The following is a 26,085-nucleotide window of genomic DNA, read 5'->3' as shown; positions in this document are numbered from 1 at the left end:
GAGGGATAGAGCTCCCGCTTAAGCCCCCTTACCACCTTCCCCCGTGGCTCCACTAAGAGAAATGAGCTATGATTAAGAGCACAGTTGGGGACCAGGCGCAGTGGCTCATGCTTGTAATCCCAGCTCTCTGGGAGGCTGAGGCAGAAGGATCACTTGAAGCCAGGAGTTTGAGACCAGTCTGGGCAGCATAGCAAGACCTTATCTCTACAAAAAGTTAAAAATTAGCTAGGCATGGTGGCACGTCCCTATAGCCCTGGCTACTCGGGAGGCTGAGGCGGTAGGATCACATGAGAATCCCGGAATTTGAGGCTGCAGTGAGCTATGATTGTGCCATTGCACTCCAGCCTGGGCAACAGAGCGAGACCCTGTCTCAGAAAAAAAAAAAAAAAAAAAAAAAAAACCCGTGATCTGAGAGTCAGAGAGATCTGGGTGGGATTACCACCCCTGCTAACCTCATTCCCTTATGACCCCAAGCCTGTTTCCTCTTTTGGAGACTCGAGATCTGATAGGACCCTGCAGGGTGGCCAGGCAGTATCTGGAGGGCTCTGGCATGCATGGGGCTAGGCCAGGGCCCCAACACAGTAAGTGCTCAGTTAATCCCATTTGCCTGTAGCTGGAACTGAGGTTTACCGAACCACATAGCTCCTCTCTCATCTGTGGGAGGCCTGGGCTATTTTTTTCGGAAAGCCCTGGGTGTTCTCTGTACCCACTCCTGCCCTGTGTCCCTTCCACACAAAGGGTCAGGAAGGAGCCAGGCCTCAGTGGGCACCAGAGCCCGGGCCTGGGTAACGGCTAGCCGGACAGACAGAGAGGCCGAATCGGGATTCCCCTTCCCTGTTTGCTTAGCAGTTGCCCCTCCCAAGACAAACAAAGGGAGGTGGCCAGCTGGGGCCTTCTGGGCCTGGGAGGAAGCCAGGCCAGTTTCTGCTCTGTGGCTGTGATGTTAGAGGCTGCCTGGGTCTGGGGAGGCCAGACCGCAGTCTCTCTGTCCTCAAGACAGGGGCTTCTTGGCACCCACCTGTTCAGCGAATAGGGAAGGGAGGACCTTCGGGAACCAGAAAGGGTTTCCCCTGTTTTGGAAAAGACCTTGACCCTATAGGCCGGGCTTGGATCTTCCCAGGCACCCGAGTACTCCAATACCCCTACCTTATTGGGTCCTCCTCCTCTGTCCACACAGCATTCAGACTTGCAGGGGAAGGGCGGTAGACCAGGCACTTCCTTTCCCCTAGGAGTCCTAGGTGGGCCAGAGAGTCATGACCTTGCAGGCTGAAATAGTCATGACCATGTCCGGCTGGAGTCGTGTTACTCTCCGGCCAGCTGCTCCTGGGAGAAAGGACAGAGTGGGCATGGAGGTGGAGGTGCTCATGCCAAGGAGGAGGCAGAAAGAACCCCTCTCATCCTTCCGTTCTTGGCTGCACAGGAAGGAAAGGCTAACTACCCCAGGCCTCTCGTGGTCCATTGCTCGTGTTGGTCTGTGGCCAGCCACAGTGTAGCACCTCCAACTACATCGGAGCGCAAGTCTCTAGACAGAGAGTTCCCCTTTCCCGTCCCACCGCCGAGGTCTGACCTGTCTCAGGACAGACTCTGCAGGTCTGGAGTCCTTAGCTGCTGCAAGCATCGTAGGGGCACAAGAATGCTCCTCCAAGTTCAGAAAACACCCCCAGGTGGCCAAATCCAAATTCCAGTCCTCGTCTTCCCCAACTGCTCTTAGAAGCCCTGACCCTGGGAGACGCTTCTTCCTCCTGGAAGGCTCCCTTGGCCGCTGCGATGTCACGGTTTCCTCTTCTCCCACCTCATGCAGCTCCATCTCGTTTCGTGCACAACTCCTGCCCCTCTCCCTGGTCCGTGAAAGCTGGTAGTATTCCCCAAGGCTGAGGTCTGGGAACTTTTCTCTTACTTTTCCAGTTTTTTTTTTGGTTTTTTGTTTTGTTTTGTTTTTTTCTGGGATGGACTCTCGCTCTGTTGCCCGGCTGGAGTGCAATGTCACGATCTCAGTTCACTGCAACCTCTACTGCCCAGGTTCAAGCAATTCTTTGGCTTCAGCCTCCCAAGTAGCTGGGATTACAGGCATGCATCACCATGCCTGGCTAATTTTTTTAGTAGAAACGGGGTTTCACCATGTTGGCCAGGCTGGTCCCAAACTCCTGACCTCAAGTGATCCTCCCACCTCGGCCTCCAAAAGTGGTGGGATTGCAGGCATGAGCCACTGTGCCAGTTTTATTATATGAGAATTGACATATACCCGTAGATGTGGGTTATAATGTATAACAGTAAAATGTTATAAGATATGGGGTGTAGAACAATAAAACGACCCCCTAACTCCATCCACCAACTCAGTTTGAGAATCAGCACATTACCAGGGAGTACCCTGTGACTGCCTTGGGCCCCTCCCCATTCCACTTTTGTCTTCCTTTCAGAAGTCTCCGTTGCCCTTTGTTTGATGGTTATCATTCCCTTACATTTTTATTTTTTTATTTAATTTTATTATTTATTAGAGACAGGGTTGCACTATCCCAGGCTGCCGTCATACTCATTGTAGCCTCCAACTCCTGGACTCAAGCAATCCTCCTGCCTCAGCCTCCTGAGTAGCTGGGACTACAGGCGCCCACCATCACACCCAGCTAATTTTTTGTATTTTTAGTAGAGATGGGGTTTCACCATGTTAGCCAGGATGGTCTCGGTCTCCTGACCTCATGATCTGCATGCTTCAGCCTCCCAAAGTGCTGGGATTACAGGCGTGAGCCACCGCGCACGGCCTCATTTAGGCATTTTTTAAAATAAAGGGTTTTTGTTTTTTTTTGGTGGGGGTGCCGGTCACTGTGGTTCACACCTGTAATCCTAGGACTTTGGGAGGCTGAGGTCGGAGGACTGCTTGAGCCCAGGAGTTCGAGACCAGCCTGGGCAAGATGGTGAGATCCCATCTCTATTTCTTTTTTTAAGTTTTTCTTGTAAAGTTCTTTCATATCTTGTGTGAAGACACATAAGTGTCCATCAGCAATTTTTTCTTTGTTGCTTCATGTTTTTTAAAACCTTTTTATGACAGATGATACACGCAGAAAAGGGACTAAAATATGAATGCACAGCTTAATATGTAATTATAAAGTATACACCTTGCAACCGCTACTGAGATCAAGAAAAAGCATGCGGTCAGCACCCCTAGACACCACAAGTGTCTTCCCACCAAACCCTCTTCCTCCTGAAGACAAGCACTGCCCTCTTCCCTTCCTTTGCTTTTTTTCGGGAGTGGGTGGGCAGAGTCTAGCTCTGTCACCCAGGTTGGAGTGCAGTGGCACAATCTCGGCTCACTGCAACCTCCATCTCCCAGGTTCAAGTGATTCTCCTGCCTCAGCCTCCTGAGTAGCTGAGATTACAGGTGCGTGCCACCACGCCCCGCTAATTTTTGTATTTTTAGTAGAGGCGGGGTTTCACCATGTTGGCCAGGCTGGTCTCGAACTCCTGCCTCAAGGGATCCACCCGCCTTGGCCTCCCAAAGTGCTGAGATTACAGGCATCAGCCACTACGCCCAGCCCCTTTGCTTTTCTTTAGAGTTTTACTACTTGAGTGCGTATTCCCAAAAGCTCTCGTTTTGCCAGTTTCTGAACATCATACAAATAGAACGATACACTTAGAATTCTTTTGTTTAGGGTTCTTCTTCTTCCTTTTTTGTTTTTTGAAACAGGGTTTTGCCCTGTTGCTCAGGCCTGAGTGCAGTGGCACCATCACAGCTCACTGCAGCCTCGAACTCCTGCACTCAAGCAATCCTCCGACCTAAGCCTCTCAAGTACCTGGTGTGCTTCTACATCTGCCTAATTTTTGTATTTTTTAAAAAGACAGGGTCTTGCTATGTTGCCCAGGCTGGTCTCGAACTCCTGGGCTCAAGCAATCCTCCCACCTCAGCCTCCCAAAGATTACTGGTGTGAGCCACTGTGCCCGGCCCAGCTGTTCTGATTTACCATTGTGGTTGTGAATCATCCGCCTTATTGTGTATGGCTAAACTTTGTTCATTTTTACCATTGTGTAGCATTCCACCTATGAAATAAATTGTGAATAAATACCACTATTTACTTAATGATTTAACATTGATGGATATTTGAGGACTTCCCATTTTGGACTAGGTTCATTGTGGCATTATTCACCGTAGCCAAGACATAGAAACACCTTAAGTGTCCATCAGTGATGAATAGATAAAGGTACTTGGTATACAATACAACAGAATACTATACAGCCTTCAAAAAGGAGGAGACCCTGCCATTTGGATGAATCTGGAGGATGTTATGCTAAGTGAACTAAGCCAGACACAGAAGGACAAATACTGCATGATCTCATTTATATGTGGAACCTGAAAAAAACTCAAATACATAGAAACAGAGAATAGAATGGTGGTTACCAGGCTCTGTGCTATGGCCCACGCCTGTCACAGTGGCGCAATCTCAGCTCACTGCAGCCTCTGCCTCGCGGGTTCAAGTGATTTTCCTGTCTCAGCCTCCCAAGTAGCTGGGATTACAGGCGTGCACCACCATACATAGCTAATTTTTGTATTTTTGGCAGAGGTGGGGTTTCACCATGTTGGCCAGGCTACTCTCGAACTCCTGACCTCAAGTGATCCACCTGCCTCAGCCTCCCAAAGTGCCAGGATTACAGGCATGTGCCACTGCGCCTGGCCAGAAATGAAATATCAAGCAGACCAGGGCTACCTAACAACACCCCCATGTTTTCTCATCCAAAGAGCCCTGTGGATTGAAACCATCGCCCTCCTATTCTGTTATCTCTGCCTTTCTCATATTCAGAGGAATAACAGGGTCAGGGGACTGCCTACTGAATTCCAGCTGGGGTGGGTTGGTGAGTTGGATGGTCCAGATCTTGTGCTGTTTCTATAGCACTTTTCCACAAGAAGAGCTGAGGCACAGATAGGTCGTGTGCAGGCCTGAACATCTCCCACTCCCACGCAGGTACTCAACACAGTGTGGGCTTGCGTATTTCTGACACACAATAAGGAATAACGTGATATTTGCACTCCCCAGATACATGAAGATTTGTTGACCGTATCTGTCTGTTTCCAATGAACTATGACTTCTGGTTTTCCCCTAAATATGCCCACTTGGGTCTGGTTAAGTTTTGACGTCTTACCAAATCTCGCCCACATTCTCTGTAAGGTTTTGACCCAATCCCTTCCCATATTTTCCACTCGGGAAAGTCCCTAACCTTTGATGTCCTACCCTCAATCCTTTGATCACAGCCTGGGCGTTCTCCCTTTGGGCTAGATGGAGCCCCGTTTCTGTAAAACTGATGCACTCCTATGCACTAACGAGGTGTCCATGGCGCAAGCTGCACAGGTCCCTCCCCGCCACCCCAAGTGATGCTGGGGCCTCTGTTTCTCATGAACTTCTGCTTTGTCTTTTGGACATCTTGGATCAAAGTGCTGCTGTTCTCTCAGCAAAGGCACCCAGTCCAAGGCCATTTCCTGCCCTTAAACTTGCGGCTATCCGGGGAGAAAGCTTGGTGTATCCTGAATTGTCCAAGGAGCTAGCATCTTGACAATAACAGGACAGGAGGGATGAGAATGGATTTTTTTTTTTTTTTGCATTTTATGAACCAGAGCATTAAAGTTTGGGCCTCCCAAGGGTTCCTTTCCTCTGCCCAGCTTCCCCCCTAGTACCTCTTCCCTGTTTTGACTTCTCATTTTATATACTTTATTCCCACCCTGAACACCCTGAGGGGCCCAGAATGTATTCTAAGAAAGGATGCCCATTCTGCTTCTGAAAACCTAGAGCAACAAATATTCCTGACCATTTGAGTTCATTTTTGCAAGGAGTTGTCAGACCAAATATAACATTTTCTGTGGAAAATACCTATTTTGGAAGGATCTTTAACATCCAATGGAAATTCCATCCCATATTTCTTATTATTATTATTATTATTATTATTATTTTTGAGACAGAGTCTCGCTCTGTTGCCCAGGATGGAATGCAGTGGCGCAATCTCAGCTCACTGCAAGCTCCACCTCCTGGGTTCAAGAGATTCTCCTACGTCAGTCTCCCGAGTAGCTGGGATTACAGGCATGCGCCACCACGCCTGGCTAATTTTTGTATTTTTAGTAGAGATGGGGTTTCACCATGTTGGTCAGGCTGGTCTCGGACTCCTGACCTAAAGTGATCCACCCACCTTGGCCTCCCAAAGTGCTGGGATCACAGGCGTGAGCCACTGTGCCTGGCCGTCCATCCCATATTTCACCAAGACTGGGAACTCTTCAAGGAAACTCCAAGATAGTGGAGGCTCAGTTTCTGCAGTGATGGAGGGGGTGGGGGTGGCTGTGATAAACTGCAATGATTTTCTGGGCTCTCCCCTTTCCCACTGACATACACATAGTCAGCTGCTCTTCTAGAGAATGGGAATTAAGCCTCAGACACTTAGACACGGTGCCTCTAGTCAATGAGCGTACAGCCCTCATCTGGAAAGCGTGGAAAACCCCCACCTCAAGGAAATTCCCCACCTCCAGGGATTTTGAGGGAATCTAACAATATAAGTAAGAGCCTGAGCTGAAGCACACACCCAGTGCCCACTCAACTGTTTTAGCTATTGTTAAATGTTCCCGAGAGAGTCGATTTCAACAACCACATCATATGAGATGCTGGAATGGCTCCTGCCTATCGTCTCTGCACTTTGGGAGGCAGAGGCAGGAGGATTGCTTGAGCCCAGGAGTTTGAGACCAGCCTGGACAACATAACAAGACCTCATCTTCACCAAAAAAAATAGAAAATTTAACCAGGCTGATGGCACATGCCTGTGGACCCATCTACTTGGGAGGCTGAGGCAGGCAGATTGCTTGAGCCCATGAGGGCAAGGCTGCAGTAAGCCCTGATCACACCACTGCACTCCAACCTGTCTCCAGACTAAAAAAAAAAAAAGCTGGATACCAGATTCTGGGGGAATACAGCTATGAGAAATGTAAGAATTCTCAAATGCTTGTCACTTCCCCATGTTGGTTTTGTTTAGCTCTGGGTGTTTTCCCACACCACTTATTAAGAAAGTCGTTAAAGGCTGGGCACAGTGGCTCATGCCTGTAATCCCAGCACTTTGGGAGGCTAAGGCGGGTGGATCACTTGAGGCCAGGAGTTCAAGACCAGCCTGGCCCACATGGTGAAACCCCCTCTCTACTAAAAATACAAAAAATTAGCTGGGTGTGATGGCGTGCACCTGTAGTCCCAGCTACTCAGGAGGCTGAGGCAGGAGAATCCCTTGAACCCAGGAGATGGAGGCTGCAGTGAGCCAAGATCGCACCACTACACTTCCAGCCTGGGTGACAGAGCAAGACTGTCTGAAAAAAAAAAAAGAAAAAAAGAAAGAGAGAGAGAGAAAGAAAGAAAGAAGAAAGAGAAAGAAAGAAAGTTGTTAAAATGAGAAGTTGATGCATGCCTGTTTGCAAAGGGAGAAATTGGAGCAATTCCATTTTGCTCTGCAGTCAGGTTTGTGAGAAGAACCCTCCTATCAGGGCAGGTTTAGTTTAGTAAGGTTAATTTTTTTTCCTGTGTTTTTTTTTGTATTGGCATTATATATTTTTTTCTTAAAAAAATCCTTGAAAATTCAAGTATAGTTAATATTAACAGGAAACAGCCAGTCTTGCACCTGTGAACCTGCAAAAAGGCAGGGCAGGAGGAGGGGAACTGGCCACCCTAGCAGAGGACACTCAGGCTGCATAAGGAACAGATGCTTCTGGTGGGGACACAGGGCTCTCAGAGTGCCCACACTGTGACAGGTAAGATTTACAGACACACATCAACAAGGACATTGGGGTCACTCTCCACACTTCTGTACACTGCGCAAAACATCCATTCCCAGAGAAGGAAGAAAAAGTTAGCCAGGCTTGGGAAAGTCTGTACTCCAAACACTTTTTAAAATTTCCATTGGAGTGTTGTGCACATCACAAACAAATATAAATGAGTATTAATAAAGTGAACTTTTGTATTATTAATTTCCTTTGGCTGCCGTCACAAATGATCCCAAACTTTGTGGCTTGAAACAACAGAATTATTATCTCAGTGTTCTAGAGACCAGAAGGCCAAAGTCAAGGTGTCAGCCGCGCCATGTTCCCTCTGAAGGCTCTAATCCTTCCCTGCCTCTTCCAGCTTCTGTTGGCTCTAAACAGTCCTTAGCTTGGGGCTGCATAACCCTCATCTTTGCCTCTGTCTCCACATGGCCTTCTCCTACTCCCTGTGTCTCTTACAAGGACCCTTGTCATTGGATTTACAGCCCACTCAGATAATACAAGCTGATCTTATCTTGAGATCCTTAATTTAATTACATGTACAAGCTGTGTGCGGTGGCTCACACCCACAATCCCAGCACTTTGGGAAGCCGAGGTGGGCAGATCACCTGAGGTCAGGAATTGGAGACTAGCCTGACCAACATGGTGAAGGCTGGCCAACATGGTGAAATCCCATCTCTACAAAAAAAAAAAAAAAAAAAAATTAGCTGGGTGTGGTGGTGCATGCCTGTAATCCCAGCTACTTGGGAGGCTAAGGCAGGAGAATTGCTTGAACTCAGGAGGCAGAGGTTGCAGTGAGCCGAGATTGCACCACCACACTCCAGCCTGGGCAACAGAGTGAGACTCCATCTCAAAAAAAAAAAAAATTACATGTACAAAGACTCCTTTTCCAAATAAAGTCACTGTCACAGGTTCCGAGGGTTGGGATGTGGACATATCTTTTGGGGGGCTATTATACTACTTACTACAACACTCAAGTAAAAAGACCACAAATGTCCATTAAAGGTCCTGAATAAGAATGATCATACCAGCTTTATCCATAACAGCCAAAACCTTGAAACAACCCTAATGTCCATCAAAAAGAGAATGAATAAATAAATTGTGATATATTCATACAGTGGAATACTATATGGCAACGAAAATGAGCAAACTATTGCCGCAAGTATCAGCGTGAATGCATCTCCATTAATATAAAGTTCAAGAACAGGCGAAACCAATCCATGGTGATGGAGGTCAGAATAGTGCTTACCCTCAGGGGATAATGACTAGGAGGGCGCGAGGGATCTTCTGAAGTGTTGGAAGTATTCTATATTTTTTTTTATTCTTTTAGAGACAGGGTCTTGCTCTGTAGCCCAGGCTGGAATGAAGTGACACAATCATAACTCACTGTAACCCCAACCTCCCAGACTCAACTGATCTTCTCATTTCAGCCTCCCGAGTAGCTGGGACTGCAGGTATGTGCCACCACATATGGCTAATATTTTTACTTTTTATTTTTTGTGGAGATGGGGTCTCGCTATGTTGCCTAGGCTGGTCTCAAATACCTGGCCACACGGGATCCTCCTGCTTTGGTCTCCCAAAATGCTGGGATTACAGGTATGAGCCATTTGCTTCCAGCCAGTATTCTATATTTTCATCTGAGTGGTAGTGGTAGTCATATGAAAAATTAATTATACTATGCATTTAAGATTTATGCACTTTACTGAATGTATGTTATAAAATTTAACTTGTCATTAAAATTTTACGTATTTTAAACTCAATTACATGTACAATTTCATGTATAAAAACTCAATTAGTTTAAAATACATAAAAGTTGCAATATATCATCATTGTTAAAACTATTTTAACAGGCTTATTGAAGTATAATTGATATATGATACACTGCACATATTTAAATTATACAATTTTTATCTTTGATATTGACATTTGTATATATCCATGAAATCACCACCACAATCAAGCTAACCAACATCACCCACAAAAGTCTCTTCCTGCCCTTCTCCATATTCCCCATGCTCCCTACAACATTAAAATTATATTAAAATTTTCTAAAAAATGAAAATAAATAAATATCTGGTTGATCTTGCTAGTTGCAAAAAGAATCATAAGTAAAATTACTGCAGTATGCCTTCTTTCAGGAATTACACCAGACCAGCAAGGAGGATTCAGAAACATAAATGCACTCTGCACTTCTGGCATAACTAGGGGGTATCTGAAAGGTCAGAGGAGGAAGAGCTACCAACACAGGAAAAGTCAAGTGAGTCGAGGAGGAAGCCAAGAAGGAGTGCCCATGGTTCTGATCTTAGACTAAGCCTACAAGGCACAAGAGGCTCGTTGTGATGGGCAAACCAGCAGTCACCTGTTTGGAACACAAAGAGTGAGAGATACAGCCTGGCCGTTGGAACCTTCCTGGCACTTGCTGCCATTGATGTCTGGGGCCAGGAAAGCAGTGCTGGAGGAGGGATCAACACACAGTTGTCTGGACAGGATGCTGCCTGCTTGCCAGGAGGAGGTGGGGCTGAGCTGCTGCACTGTAAGTGGCTTTCCGGATGCTGTTCTTGGCCATCTGGGGCAAAGGAAGTTTAAGCAACTCACACATACACATATTCCTCTAAATTAGCAACGTTCCTGGAAACTGGAAATGCTTCCTGCTAGGCAGAAACAAAAGCTTCCCCCTACTGTGCACAAATGTCTTCAATTACTTGGCACAGGAAGAGTTCCCCCCAAGTCAAAGGTAGCTAAAAGAGAAATGCATAACCGGCAGATTTAGGGGTGGGAACCTGATGTCTGCAACTCACTTTAGACACATAAAAAAGTCATATAGAGCAAGTACAGTGAAATGTTAAGGGCATAGGTGGTATGTATACAGCTATTTGCTGCATAGTTCTTTCGACTTTTCTGTGTTTGGAAAGTTTCATTAAAAAGATAGAGAAGAAAGGGTATTCAAAGAAACTGAACAAAGTTATCAAAAGAAAAAGGATAAAAGCAACATTAAAAAAAATTCAGAGGCCAGGCACAGTGGCTCACACCTATAATCCCAGCACTTTGGGAGGCCAGGGCGGGTGGATCACTTGAGGTCAGGAGTTCGAGACTAGCCTGGCCAACATGTGAAACCGTCTCTACTAAAAATACAAAAATTAGCCAGATGTGGTGGTGCATGCCTGTAATCCCAGCTACTCAGAAGGCTGAAGAACAAGAAGGGCTTGAACCCCGGAGGTGGAGGTTGCAGTCAGCCAAGGTCATGCCACTGTACTCCAGCCAGGGTGACAGAGCAAGACTCTGTCTCAAAAAAAAAAAAAAATCAGATGAAGAAAATGCCATGCAGTGGCATGATCTCGGCTCACTGCAGCCTCCGCCTCCTGGGTTCAGGCGATTCTCCTGTCTCAGCCTCCTGAGTAGCTGGGACTACAGGCATGTGCCACCACACCTGGCTAATTTTTGTATTTTTAATAGAGACAGGGTTTCACCATGTTGGCCAGACTGGTCTCAAACTCCTGACCTCAGGTGATCCACCTACCTTGGTCTCCCAAAGTATTAGGATTACAGGAGTGAGCCACCACGCCCAGCCTCGATTCAGTTTTTAAAGAATAATTTAAAAAGCATACCTAGAAACCACAGAATACCAAAGAAAATGACATAATCTTAAAAGTGGCTGGAAATAAAGGATGGATTACATATATGAAAACAAAATTAGACTTTCTACTGATTTCTCAATAGCAAAAATGGGAACGAGAAGACAATGGAACAATAGCTTTGATGTGCTGGGAGAAAACACATGTCCATCTAGAACTGCAGGCCCAAGAATCATTCAAGGATGAAGATGAACTGAATACACTTTCAGAGAAAAACTGAAATATTTTGTATGAACATATCCCCCTAAAGGAAATTCTTAAAAAATTAGGTCAGAAGAAAGAAAAGCAATATCAGAGGGAAAATATGAGCTGTAAGATGGAATAACAAGCAATGAAAATGATAAATGTGTGGGTAAATCTAAACGGACAGTGATTGTTTTAGTCCATTTTTTGTTGGTATAACAGAATATACCACTATAAATTACAGACTGGGTAATTTATAGTGAACAGAAATTTATTTAGCTCATGGTTCTGGAGGCTGAAAAGTCCAATACCGAGTGGGTGGCATCTGGTTGGCTTCGGGGGAGGGGCTAGTGCTGCATCATAACATGATGGAAAAGCAGAAGAGAAGCAGGTGTGTGTCAAAGGGGCAAAACTTAAGGGGAACCTCACTTTATAACAGCCTGCCCTTGCAATAACCAATCCAGTCCCAAAAGAGTGAGAACTCACTGCCTCCAGAATTAACCCAGTCTCGAGAGAATGGCATCAGTCTCTCTTAATGACCAAATCACCTCTTAAAAGTCCCGTCACCCAACACCACCACACTGGGGACCAAAGTGGGAGGATCTCTTAAGACCAGGAGTTTGAGATCAGCCTGGGCAACATAGTGAAACCCTATCTCTATTAAAAAATTAACAGGGCATGGTGGTACAAGTGGTACAAGCCTGCAGTCCTAGCTACTTGGGAGGCTGAGGCAGGAGGATTGCTTGAGCCCCGGAGTTTGAGGCTGCAGTGGGCTATGATAGTGCCACTGCACTCCAGCCTGAGTGACAGAGCGAGAATTTGTCTCTTTTTTTTTTTTTTTTTTTGAGATGGAGTCTCTCTGTGACGCCCAGGCTGGAGTGCAGTGGCTCAATCTCGGCTCACTGCAAGCTCCGCCTCCCGGGTTCACGCCATTCTCCTGCCTCAGCCTTCCGAGTAGCTGGGACCACAGGTGCCCACCACCACGCCTGGCTAATTTTTTGTATTTTTAGTAGAGAAGGGGTTTCACCGCGTTAGCCAGGATGGTCTCGATCTCCTGACCTTGTGATCCGCCCGCCTCGGCCTCCCAAAGTGCTGGGATTACAGGCATGAGCCACCGTGCCCAGCCGCTGAGAATTTGTCTCTAAAAAACAATGACAAACTAAAAGGAAAACTTCTGGAAAGCAGAATAAAAGACAAAAGTGGATAATAAGAGACAATATAAGAAAATTAGAGGATAAATTCAGAAATTCCAAAAAAGAGAAAACAGAAACTCCAGTAGTGAAGAAAGTATTAAAGAAATGTCCCCATAACTGAAAGAAATTTGAAGAGCCTGCAGAGTGCTCCACAATTGTTAAAATATGGTAATAATATTTCAGAACATCAGTTCTAGAGGTTTCCAGAGAGAGAAAAAAAAAAAGCCAAACAGATCACAGTCAAAGGATCACAGGTGGGAGGACATTGGACACTCTGGGGAAAAACTGCTGTTTAACCTGGACTTCTATCAAATTATCACTCAAGTGGAAACAGGGTTAGACATTTTCAGACAAACAAAGTCTCAAAAAGTTTCCTCCCAAACAGTCTTTCTCAGGAAGCTCCTGGAAGATATTTTCACCCTAAACAAGGGAGTAAACCAGGAAAGAGAAAATGGAGGACCAACATGACTAGATGGTGAAGTGAAGTCCCAGCAGGAGAATCATGCAGCTGGCTTGAAGAAAGTATAGATTGGAGCAGAAGGACAGAGATTGGAGTTTAAATTATTCAAAGCAGAGAAAAGGACAAATCTCAACTACAGTTGTAAAGAAAAGCAAAAAGTTTGCATGAGAAAGAAATGTAAGGACAGCGCACGACATAGCTCATCTCTAACATTTTCCTGATCTCCATAACATAATCAGTGAACTTAATAAAAATCATGACATGACAATTCTGGGAGGATTGAAGGGGGGGGAAGGAAATATGTGTGTGGGAGAGGAGTGAAAAGAGCGAATTCATCATCTTCTAGTAAAAAGTAAGTTGATAATATATAACATTCAAATTCAAGACTGTATATAAACCTGCTATTTATAAACGTGGAGCCGGGCACAGTGGCTCATGCCTGCAATTCCAGCACTTTGGGAGGCTGAGATGGGCGGATCACTTGAGGTCAGGAGTTCGAGACCAGCCTGGCCAACACGGTGAAACCCTGTCTCTACTAAAAATACAAAAATTAGCCTGGTGTGGCGGTGCATGCCTGTAATCCCAGTTACTTGAGAGGCTGAGGCTGGAGAATTGCTTGAACCCGGGCGGCAGAGGTTGCAGTGAGCGGAGATGGCACTGCTGCACTACAGCCTGGGCAACAGAGTGAAATTCCAACTCAAAAAAAAAAAAAAAAGGAGATGAAAATAGAACTATGCACTAAAAGAGAGAGTGGCTAATTCTGGAGAGGGGGATGGGGTGGGACGGCATGGAGTAGAGAAGAGAGCTGCTGGGTTTAGAAATCTTGTTGAATTCTTTGACTTTTGCTATTGTGCATTTATATGACTGATTAGAATTAAAATTTTAAAAGTTTGCAACTGGTAGAGCCAAGAATTTTGAGTTTAAGAATCCCAAACTGATGGAAATACTTATAATACACACAAAAATTTTTGTTTACGGATGGCCTAGGCAGTATAGTTTGCAATGAGGACAAAGAAAAAAAATGCGTTGTGTTTGATATTTACAGGATATTATTAATGGGACATTATAATTAATTGTTTTATTTTCCCCACTGCTGACATGCCTGTGTGAATTTGCTAAGCTAGTGGTTTGATGACTTATTTGTAATGCACTTTTAGAGCATCGTAAACACCTAATAAACACATGTGGAATACAGGTGTTTCAAAACGATAAGTAACAAAAAAGAGACACATTTTATTGTATATAAACTATCCTTCAATAATACTGATTAAAATGCAAAAGAGATATTAGAATATGCAAATTATTCAGCAACATAAAGCAATAATAGAAGAGCCAAAAGACGAAAATGATTGATTATGGGATGTGGATGCAAGGTAGAGGACAGTTATTTATTTATATGTCTTTTATTGTTTGTTTGTTTATTTATTTATTTTTTGTGACAGGGTCTTGCTCTGTCACCCAGGCTGGAGTGCAATGATGCCATCCCAGCTCACTGCAGCCTTGGTCTTCCATGCCCAAGCCATCCTCCCACCCCAGCCTCTTGAGTAGCTGGGACTACAGGCACATGCCACCATGCCTGGCTAATTTTTGTATTGTTTGTAGGCATGGAGTCTCACCATCTTGCCCAGGCTGGTCTCAAAACCCTGGGTTCATTCCGTCTGCCTGCCGGTCTCCCAAAGTGCTGGAATTACAGATGGGAGCCACTGGACCCAGCCATGTCTTTTAATGCTGCATGATATTTAAATGTTAAATATGTATATTTTAGCACTACTTCATATATACTCATTACATAAGGTAAGTACAGTTATAAAGTAAATAAAGGCTGGGCGCAGTGGCTCATGCTGTAATCCTAGCACTTTGGGAGGCTGGTCAGGAGATCAAGACCAGCCTGGCCAACATGGGGAAACCCCATCTCTACTAAAAATACAAAAATTAGCTGGGCAGGGTGGCACATGCCTAGCTACTCGGGTGGCTGAGGCAGGAGAATCACTTGAACCTGGGAGGCGGAGCTTGCAATGAGCCGAGATGGCGCCACTGCACTCCAGCCTGGGCAACAGAGTGAGACTTCATCTCAAAAAAAAAAAAAGTAAATACGGCACATAGATGTGTTATGCATAATATATATATGTATGTATGTATGTATGTATGTACGCTGGGTCTAGAATTTGAAAGGCACCTGAAAATATAATGCTTAATTTTTCAAACACTTATTTTGTGATTAGAACGAAGACAATGCATAGTGGATGACGTTACTGCCTTTCTATTCTATCACTATCTATGCACCATGTCCAAAAGGTCATGAACTGCCACTGGGTGAAGGCAGATCTCGGAGTCTGTTTGTTATATGCAGGGACTCAATGACACTCACTGGCTGCAGTACACCCGTGAGGTAGGAGGTGGGCTCAACTCCAGAGGTGAGGCTCAGACACCTGACCAAACTGAGAACTAGCTAAAACAGGGACGGGAGGGAAGCAGTTTTCCATAAGACACACCCACCAGTGCGCCATGTCAGTTTACCATTGCCATGGCAACACCGGAGAGTCACCACCCCTTTCCATGGCAATGATATAATGACCCCAAAGCTACTACCCCTTCCCTAGAAATGTCTGCATAAACTGCCCCTTAATCTACGTGCAATTAAATGTGAGCATAAATCTGACTGCAGAACTGCTCTGAGCTGCTGCTGTCTGCCTACGGGACCGGGTAGTCCTGCTCTGCAGGAGCAGTCATGGAGCTGTAACACGGCTTCTTCAATGAGCCTCTTTTCTTCTACCCTACCACTGGCCCATACTGCTCACCCTTGAATTCTTTCTTGAGCAAAGCCAAGAACCCTCACATGCTAAGCCCCAGTTTGGGGGTCACCTGTCCTGAATCAAGTTGGGAGAACTTGAAGATTCCTCCAGAAAGAAATATGTAAACTGGATGGTGCTCTCCTCATCATGCTGAGAGCTCTCTCTCCCCTGGTGCTCGGCTCCTGGCCACCTCTGCCTCCAGCCAGACTAGGTGCTCCTAGTCAGACCTGATCCTCAGCAATTTTGACCAAAGATGACTCTTGGTACTGAAAGGCCACCAGGGTCTGCTCTTCCACACACCTAAAGTTGAGGCAGTGATAGGGGAATGCAACTGGGAGTGAGGTCCCATTGTCAGGGTCCTTTCCAACCTCCTCATCTTGGCATCGAAGGGTTCCGTGTTGACCCTACCCTAGCTAAACACCCAGCCAAATATCCCCCTGCTCTTCAGGGTGCTCCCTCAGCTCCACTCACTCTGTCTCTCACACACCACCAGAAGGTACCCCTTAAAACCTGTGCGATCCACCTTCCTGCAATGCTCTTCCTTCCTCTACAAATCCACCCGCTTTCCAAAGTCCAGTTTCAGGCCCTTGTCTTTCTTCCTGGAACAAAGTGCTCATTTGAGGTTTTGAACAGCTGGAGCACTTCTGCTTCATGCAGACCTTTGGTGCACCTAGCGAACATCAACTGTGTTTTAACACCCAGTTTAGCAGCAACTTCCATTGTAAATACTTCAGCAATAATTCTCTCCAAGAATTCTTTCTCTCCTTGGTTCCCAATGAGATAGGTTTTTTCCATTATAGTAATTAACGCTTTGAATCATAATAAAGTGTTTACCACCATTTGGAATCTCCTGGTAGAATAAGAGTTCCCCAGGGAAAAGTACTTGGAATTAATCACATAGCATTGATGCCATAAAAGCTTGCTGAATTAAGACATTCCTTTGTATGGCTTGGCATTGTGGCTCACGCCTGTAATCCCAGCACTTTGGGAGGCTGAGACGGGAGGCTCACTTGAGGCCAGGAGTTCAAGACCAGCCTGGGCAACATAGCAAGACCCCGTCACTAGCAAAAAAGAAAAGAAAAAAAATTAGCCGGACATAGTGGAGGGCACCTGTGGTCTCAGCTAATGGGGAAGCTGAGGCGGGATGATCGCTTGAGCTCAATAGGTCGAGTTTATGGTGAGCTATGAGTGCCACTATATAGTGAGTGCCACTGCACTCCAGTCTGGGAAGCAGAATGAGACCCTGTCTCAAAACAACAACAACAATAACAACAAATGCTCCTGTATTTTTCTCTCACTCTCCTATTCATCCTTCAGCACCCAGTCTAACCACCACCTCCTCTAGAAAGCCTTTCTGATTGCCTAGAGCAAGGTGGGTTCTTCCATCATATCTGATGGCATCTGGCTTCTTTATATGGATTATGAAAGTCACCATTTACCTGGGCAATTATTTGTTAAGCGCCCTTCTCTTTCCCTCCACTGTGCAAACCATCGGGACAAGGGCAGGCTGTGACCTTGTCATAAGATTTCCAGTGTACCAGCCCAATGTTTGGCACAAGGCTGGTGCTCAGTGAATTGCTTGTGACATGGAAGAATTAAAGTGTGACTCTTACATACCCAATGACACTTTGCTTCCCAGAACTAAATGTATTAGCACAGAATAAATTTATTTTTTTATTATGAAAAATTTAAACATTCTCAAAAGTAGAGAGAAAAGCATAATGAGCTGCCACGTGTCCATCATCCAGCTTTGACAATTACCAATATTCTTGCCAATCTTCTGATGCAGTTTTTTTAAATCAACTTATTGAGGTATAATTTACACACACAATGTACTCATTTTGAGTGTATACTTCAATGGCTTCTAGCAAATGTGTGCATTCATAGTCCCCAAAAGTTTCCCTGTGGCACAGAATTGGGTGATTTTTTGTTTTTTTGAGATAAGATCTTGCTCTGTCACCCAGAGTGGAGTGCAGTGGTTTGATCATAACTCACTGCAGCCTCCACCTCCTGGGCTCAAGCGATCCTCCCGCCTTGGCCTCCCAAAATGCTGGCATTACAGGTATGAGCCACTGCATCCAGCCTGGCACGAAGTTTTGTGAATACAAATCCTTTTTTTTTTTTTTTTTTTTTTTTGAGACAGAGTTTTGCTCTTGTTGCCCAGGTCGGAGTGCAATGGCATGATCTCGGCTCACTGCAACATCTGCCCCCCGGGTTCAAGCGATTCTCTGCCTCAGCCTTCCAAGTTGCTGGGATTACAGGTGCCCGCCACGATGCCCGGCTAATTTTTTGGATTTTTAGTACAGACGGGGTTTCGCCATGTTGGCCAGGCTGATCTCGAACTCCTGACCTCAGGTGATCCACCAGCCTCGGCCTCCCCGAAGTGCTGGGATTACAGGCGTGAGCCACTGTGCCAGGCTGTGAATACAAATTCTTAATAAATGTTTGTTACTTTGTTCACGTGTGATCCAAGATGAGTTGAAGGAAGGGGCTTGGGCCTTGAAGAAGTAGGAGAGTTTAAAGACTCTGGGGGCCACGTGAAGGGAAAGATTTGGGCTCTTACAGCCTCTTCATTTCCCTGAGACCCAACCCCAAATTGGCCCCAACTTATTCAGTCAGAATATTCTTTATCAACACCATCATGAAAGTTTCTTCCCTTGTAACCTGAGAATGGAAAAGCCAAGTTTCCATTTCCTTCATGGTGGGATGCAGTCCATGAAGCTCTCCAGCCTGTGACCCCTTTCTAAGCCTTCCCATTGCCAATCAAATGCCCACTAGGGGTAGCCTCTTCCTCTACCATCACCTGCCCCTCATAAGGTCCTAAGTATGGACCCAGAGCCCATACACAAGGCCTACTCCACTGTGGACTGCAGACCCTGGTTCTCAAGTCCAAGGGGCAGAAGGGGCTGAGCTGGAACCATGCCCCTTGGCCACAGAACCAACCTGGATGAGCCCTGCAGACCCTGGGAGCCAGCTCTCAGGGAAGAAAGTGGAGGAGGGTGGGAGTACAGCAATGGGGAGAAGGGCAGGGGGAGCTGGCCAGTGCAGGGTGGGCCTGGGGTATGGAGCCTCAGAGCATTCTGATGAAGCAGTGTTATAGGACCAACAGGCTCACACATCCACTGTGCAGTGACAGACCATTCCACTGAGACAGCAGGGTTGGCAGCAGAGAAAGAGTTTCATGATCACAGGGCGCCAAGTGAGGACATGAGAGGAAACCCTCAAATCCATCTCCCCAAGGAGTTCTGGGCTGGCGATTTTAAGGGGATCATGGAAGGACGAGGAGCTGGAGAATTGGGGTGGTTGATTGCTTGGGGTTAGGGGGATGAAATCAGGGTGTGAAAACTGCATTCTTTAGTGAGTCAGCAGCTCCTGTGGGTTCCTTCAGACCAAATGGCATCAGTGGTTTCATCAGTATACAGAACCTGAAAAAATATCTCAAATGGAAAACTTAACATTTCTTTTGTTTGTTTGTTTGTTTGTTTGAGGCAGTTTTGCTCTTGGCATCTAGGCTGGAGTGCAGTGGCACCATCTTGGCTCACTGCAACCTCTGCCTCCTGGGTTCAAGCGATTCTCCTGCCTCAGCCTCCTGAGTAGCTGGGATTACAGGCACCTGCCACCATGCCTGGCTAATTTTTGTATTTTCAGTAGAGACGGGGTTTCACCATGTTGGCCAGGCTTGTCGCGAACTCCTGACCAGGAGATCCACCCACCTTGGCCTCCCAAAGTGCTGGGATTACAGGCGTGAGCCACTGCACCCGGCCAAAACTTAACATTTCGTAATGTTCAAGTTCTTATCTCTAGAGCAGTTAAGGGGAACTATCATCTTGGAACAGGTCTGTGTGATTCTAGAACAACAGGCACCAAACCACTGTGAGAAAGGGCAGGTCAGAGAGCAGGATGACCTCATGATGACCGCTGAATGTGCTGCAAGCTTGGTTATTTTCATTTCTCCCCGTCCCTTCTTCCCTGATTAATTTAATAAAGTGAATATGGTTTCAGCAGAAACACTGGTGGTGGAAGAAGGGCATGTCACTCACATCCTTCCCACACCTCATTTGTCTCAGGGAGGAGCATTGTTTGGGGACCCCAGAAGGGGAAGGGTTTCTGACCCCAGAAGAGTAAGGACACTTTATAGAAAAAAAGGCACGGAGCCGGGGAGGCCTTTACTGAAAGTCAGTATCCAAAGGCTCGCTGAATTCTTCAAAGAACGTTTCAGCCCTTTTTTTTTTTTTTTTTTTGCGACGGAGTCTCACTCTGTCACCCCGGCTGGAGTGCAGTGGCACAATCTTGGCTCACTGCAACCTCCACCTCCTGGGTTCAAGCAATTCTCCTCCCTCAGCCTCCCGAGTAGCTAAGATTACAGGCCTGCACCACCATGCCTGGCTAATGTTTGTATTTTTAGTAGAGATAGGGTTTCCCCGTGTTGGCCAGGCTGGTCTCAAACTCCTGACCTCAGGTGATCCATCCGCCTCGGCCTCCCCAAGTGCTGGGATTACAGGTGTGAGTCACTGCGCCCAGCCACGTTTCAGCATTTCATTTGAGCAGGGAATACATCCTCAAGAGGAGCAGGAAAAGGGAAGAAGATGCAGGAAAGTTGGCCATTATTTGAGAAGATAAAACCCACTCTCTGTGGTGCTGACAGTATTTCTTTGTGCACCATCGTTCACAGCTCTTGGTCCAGAGGTTACAACCACGCCCACCACACCACCTGCAGACTGGCTCCAGATTAATTTCCTGGGTCTGCTTCCTCCCTCACTCACATTTAACTTTGCAAATCCCCTTCATTCATTATTCATTCATTCCACAAATATTTGTCAAAGGTGCTAGAGATAAAATGGGAAATAAGTTTCTTGCATTCGAGAAGTTTATAATGTGATGAAATCATTGTCTTTGCTAGCATATATTAAGAATTTACACCTGGTGAATCTTCCTTCAAAAATGAGAAATCAAGTACGTCAATGGACATTTGGTGGGAGATTAACAGAGAATTCCAGAATGACTAAACAAACCCACAATTTTGGGGAGGAGAACAAAAAGAAAGAATGAAGACAAAATCCCCCAGAAATGGTCTCAACGGTGAGGAAAGAGAAGTCAGAAGCTGGGTATTGCTACATCCTGGAAACAGCATATAGGAAATTAGGAAATTTAGGAAGGCGATTTCTTGTTCTAATTCTGCCTGACTCATGCAAATTCCCGCATATCTATTTACGCCTCTGTCACTCAGTTTTCCTCATCTGTACAGATAAACTCTAATCTAATGCAGATGGGTGTTACAAAAATGCAACAGTGCACCTAAGAGTGCTTTGGGAACCATGAAGCTCTATATAAATAGGAAAGAATATATTTTTTTAGAGTGCCTCCTAACATCGCTGATCTCTGTCTTCCAGGCACCTTCTTTCCTGGAGCACAACTCACCAATTCCACCACCAGCTGGTTTCTTCCTACGTCACAAAAGCAACTGCGAACAGGGCTCCATTGAGTGGGGACCCGACTCATTACTTCTCTCAGGGGGCCCACAGTGGAGTTAGAAAGGCGAGCCCAGCAAACACTTACAGGAAACTGCCGTGAGCCCCATCACTGAGCATGGGTGGGGTGGGTGAACTAGAATTTGCTATCTGAGCAGTTGGTGTTTGACTTGAGTCTTTGAAGCACCTGGAAAATAATATCACACGTCCTTGGTGTTCCATGTTTGCCCTGACCGCACCTTTATCTGAAGGCCCCTGAGGGCTGAGGTCTTGCATTCCAGGAGACCCTTGAGGGTCAGGGTTTATGTGTTTCTCCTATGCCTACACACACAGGTGGTGTGGAGTTGTTCCATAGCACAGTTCCATTCATACACAAGGTTCTTACAGTGTGCAATGACCCAGGCTTGCAGCCCTTCTCAACCTTAACTGCACAGTAAAATCCCCAGGGAAACTTTTAACAATCCGGGCAGCAGGCTGCACCCCAGACCAATGCAATCAAAATCTCTGGGGGTAGTCCCTTGCATCAGGGATTTTAAAAGTTCCTCTGGGCCAGGCGCGGTAGCTCACACCTGTAATCCCAGCACTTTGGGAGGCCGAGCTGGGCAGATCACTTGGGGTAAGGAGTTCGAGACCAGCCTGGTCAACATGGTGTAACCCCGTCTCTACTAAAATACAAAAATTAGCCGGGCGTAATGGTGGGAGCCTGTAATCCCAGCTACTCTGGAGGCTGAGGAGGGAGAATCGCTTGAACCCGGGAGGCGGAGGTTGCAGTGAACAGAGATCGCGCCATTGCACTACAGCCTGGGCGACAGAGGGAGACTCCATCTCAAACACACACACACACACACACACACACACACACACACACACACACACACTTCCTCTGGTGGTTCTAACACGCAGCCAAGGTAGAGAACCACTGAGTTACAGCCTGGCCCTCAAGGGTGCACACCAATTGCCTGGGTGGGGGAGTTGACAAAATGCAGATTTTGATTCAGCAGGTCTGGTTTTAAGTCCTGAGGTTCTGCTTTTCAAACAAGTTCCCAGACGCTGCTGCCGCTGGTGGCCGGACAGCATTTTGACAGAAAGGGGCGGGAGCACAAGCAAAGTTCCCTGGGACCGGGATTGTGGTTCTAGTGCCCTCTGGTGGTCAGGACCTCCCTAGCAGCGCCCTGCAGAGAAGAACTGATGATAGAAGCCCTGGCTAACAGAATTTCTGGCGGACACCTGGATTTCAGCCTTGTAATGACCGGAGCAGAACCCAGCCAAGCCTGCTTGGACTCCTGACCTACAAAACTGTGAGATAATAAACGGGTGTTGTTTAAAGCTGCTAAATTTATGGTAATTTGGTGTGCAGCAATAGACAAGAACAAGCTTCATCGTAACAGGCCAGCTGAGAAACCCAAACCCACAGGCTCGGCCCAGTGACCTTGCACGTCTCTTCTCTAGTTCAGGGAGATGGATTCATTCCCAACCTCCTGCTCTCATGGGAGACGAGGTGGAAAGGATTGTACTTCTTGCTGCTTTATTTTTTCATGATTGCTGACTTCTTTTCATCCTACGATGCTTGTTGTCACTGACACCCGTGAAAGCTCAGGGGTGGGATGGTGGTGGGGTTGTTTGCTCTCTGTGGCTGATTGTATTTTCCAAAGGTGAATGCACGGATATATCCTATGCCACATGCCCTCCTTACAATGACCTCGATGACTTGATCTCCTTCATGGAGATATGGGATTTATGTTCCCATCCCTTCAATCTAGCAGGCCTGAGACTGTGGCAGGAGTGACCCCAGGTGACTTTGAAGGCTAAGTCATAAAAGGGGATAACTTCTGCCTGGCTCTCTCTTTCTCAGGGTGCTCATCCTCGGAACCCAGTCTCCATGCTGTGAGGAAGCCCAAGCAGATGCACAGAAAAGCCACCTGTAGGTATCCTGGTCACAGCCCCATCTGAGAGCCAGCATCAATTGCCAGACTTGTAAGTGAGAGAGCTTTCAGAAGGTTCCAGTCCCCTGTCTTCAAGTGGCCCAGCTGATGCTGAGTGAAGCAGACATGAGCCCCAGTGAGTCCTATCCAAGTTGTAGATTCGTGAGCAGAATAAACATTGCTTTGATTCTGGAGCAGTGGCTCGTGCCTGCAATCCCAGCACTTTGGGAGGCTGGGATGGGATGAATGCTTGGGACCAGGAGTTTGAGACGAGCCTGGACAACATGGAAAAACCCTGTCTCTACAAAAAATTAAAAAATTAACCAGGTGTGTTGGTATGAGCCTGTGGTCTTAGCTACTAGGGAGGCTGAGGCGGGAGAATCGCTTGAACCCGGGAGGTCAAAGCTTCAGTGAGCAGTGATTGCACCACTGCACTCCAGCCTGGGTGATAGACTGAGACTCTGTCTTAAAAAACACACAAACAAAAAACCCCAAACCAAAAAACCCCCACATCGCTCTAAGCTGTGAAACTTTGGGATGATTGTGGTGCAGCAAAAGACAACTAGAACACTGTCAGGTTTTTCCCGAGGACAAAACACTGAATTTGACCCTGTGTAGGGGTTGGGGTGAGGAAGCTTTGGTTTTGATAAATTACAGGTGAATTACCTGTTTTCCATTAATTACTATTTTTTGTTTTGTTTTGTTGAGATGGAGTCTCACTCTGTTGCCCAGGCTGGAGTGCAGTGGCACGATCGTGGCTTGCTGCAATCTCTGCCTCCTGAGTTCAAGTGATTCTGCTGCCTCAGCCTCCTGAGTAGCTGGGAGTACAAGTGCCCACCACCACGCCCAGCTAATATTTTGGATTTTTAGTAGAGATGGGGTTTCACTATATTGGCCAGGCTGGTCTGCAACTCCTGACCTCAGGTGATACGCCCGCCTTGGCCTCCCAAAGTGCTGGGATTACAGATGCGAGCCACCGCGCCCAGCCCATTAATTACTATTTTTAAAAGGCAGTCTCGTAAGAAACTAAGCACAGTGCTTATAAACCATTAGGAACTCCCCAGAAAGTTTTTGGAGTATTAGCATTTTTATAACTTTTTTTCTTTGCCACTTAATTCCCTTAAAAGATTCTCTCTTTAAATAGTTCTCAAGGAGAGTCCAGACCCGGGGGGAGGGTAGTTTGAGATATTTTTCTCTCGGGACCTCCCCACTGGTGTTAGGCAGACTTCTAAGAGGGCCTCCAACAACCTCCACCTCCTGTTTGGGTGCCCTTGTGTCATTTTCTTCCCTTGAGTGTGGGCCCGACTTTATGACTTTGCTTCTAACCCAAAGAATATGGCAAAGGTGGTGGGAGGTGGCTTCCATGATGAGATTACAAAAGATTGTGACTTCTGTCTTATGGCAAACTCAACTGCCTTCTTGGTTTGCTTGCTTTAATGAAGCAAGCTCTCCGTTCTGCAAGGCCCAAGAGGGAAGGAATTGAAAGCAGCTTCAGGCCAAAAGCCGGGGAAGAACTGAGGCCCTCAGTCCGACAGGTTGTATGAAGTGAATGAACTTGGAAGTGACCCCTTTCCAGTTGAGCCATGAGATGAGATATTTGTCCTGGCTGGCACCTTGATGGCATTCTTGGGAGAGACCATGAAACAGGGAACCCAGCAGAGCCGTGCCTGGGTTCCAGACCCACAGAAACGAAGAGATAATAAAAGGATGTTGTTTTAAGCCTCTGCGTTTTTGGATAATTTGTTGTGCAGCAGTAGGTTACTAGCACACCGACCCTCCTCTGACTCCTGCAAATCATTTCTGTGTCCGAATCCCACGCTGCCACCATGCTCAGGCTAACCTGCACCCACCCTCCCCACACACATCAGGCATCTCAGCTGAGTGCATCTCCATGAAGCATGCGTTTCAGTTACACCCACCCTGGGTGTCTGTACCTGCATTTGCTAAAACTGTGTTGGAACACTCGACCTCATTCCTCACCCCTTTGTGTTGGGAACAGGACCCCCAAAATCTGGCCATAAACTGGCCCCCAAACTGGCCATAAACAAAATCTCTACAGCACTGTGACATGTTCATGATGGCCATGACGCCCATGTTGAAAGGTTGTGGGTTTGCCGGAATGAGAGCAAGGAACACCTGGCCCGCCTGGGGCGGAAAACCGCTTAAAGGCATTCTTAAACCACAAACAATAGCATGAGCGATTTGTGCCTTAAGGACATGCTCCTGCTGCAGATAACTAGCCATACCCATCCCTTTGTTTTGGCCATCCCTTTGTTTCCCATAAGGAATACTTTTAGTTAATCTATAATCTATAGAAACAATGCTTATCACTGGCTTGCTGTTAATAAATACGTGGGTAAACCTCTGTTCGAGGCTCTCAGCTCTGAAGGCAGTGAGAACCCTGATTTCCCACTCCACACCTCTATATTTCTGTGTGTGTGTCTTTAATTCCTCTAGTGCCGCTGGGTTAGGGTCTCCCTGACTGAGCTGGTCTCGGCACTTTGTATCTTCTCTCCCAGAGCCTGTGTCCAATTCCGTCTGAAGCAGGGAAAGCCTCAGCCACACTGTCCACCTGATATAATTTGGATATTTGTCCCCTCCAAATCTCAGGTTGCAAACTGATCCCCAGTGTCGGAGGTGGGGCCTAGTGGGAGGTGTTTTGCTCACGGGAGC

At 46.5% G+C, this 26,085-nt stretch overlaps 1 protein-coding gene and 1 long non-coding RNA gene across 3 annotated transcripts in view; one reads left to right on the top strand and one right to left on the bottom strand.

The window, feature by feature from the left end:
• Positions 1–1,245, bottom strand: part of GRAMD1A (GRAM domain containing 1A) — a 31,743-nt gene extending 30,498 nt beyond the window's left edge. For both annotated transcript variants that reach the window (XM_011527153.2, NM_001320036.2), the window contains exon 1: positions 1,147–1,245. The gene's annotated coding sequence lies outside the window, so the exon portion shown is untranslated. The remainder of the gene's footprint in view (positions 1–1,146) is intronic.
• A 21,099-nt stretch (positions 1,246–22,344) lies between these two features.
• LOC124904700 (uncharacterized) lies at positions 22,345–23,606 on the top strand. The gene is made up of 2 exons (XR_007067237.1): positions 22,345–22,788; positions 23,343–23,606. It is a non-coding gene; the product is annotated as an uncharacterized LOC124904700 (long non-coding RNA).
• Positions 23,607–26,085: the final 2,479 nt, after the last annotated feature.

The sequence above is a fragment of the Homo sapiens genome, chromosome 19 (assembly GCF_000001405.40).
Source record: "Homo sapiens chromosome 19, GRCh38.p14 Primary Assembly".
Lineage (NCBI taxonomy): Eukaryota > Metazoa > Chordata > Mammalia > Primates > Hominidae > Homo > Homo sapiens.
Note: the sequence above shows the minus strand (reverse complement) of the source record. Positions and strands in the feature narration are given on the sequence as shown.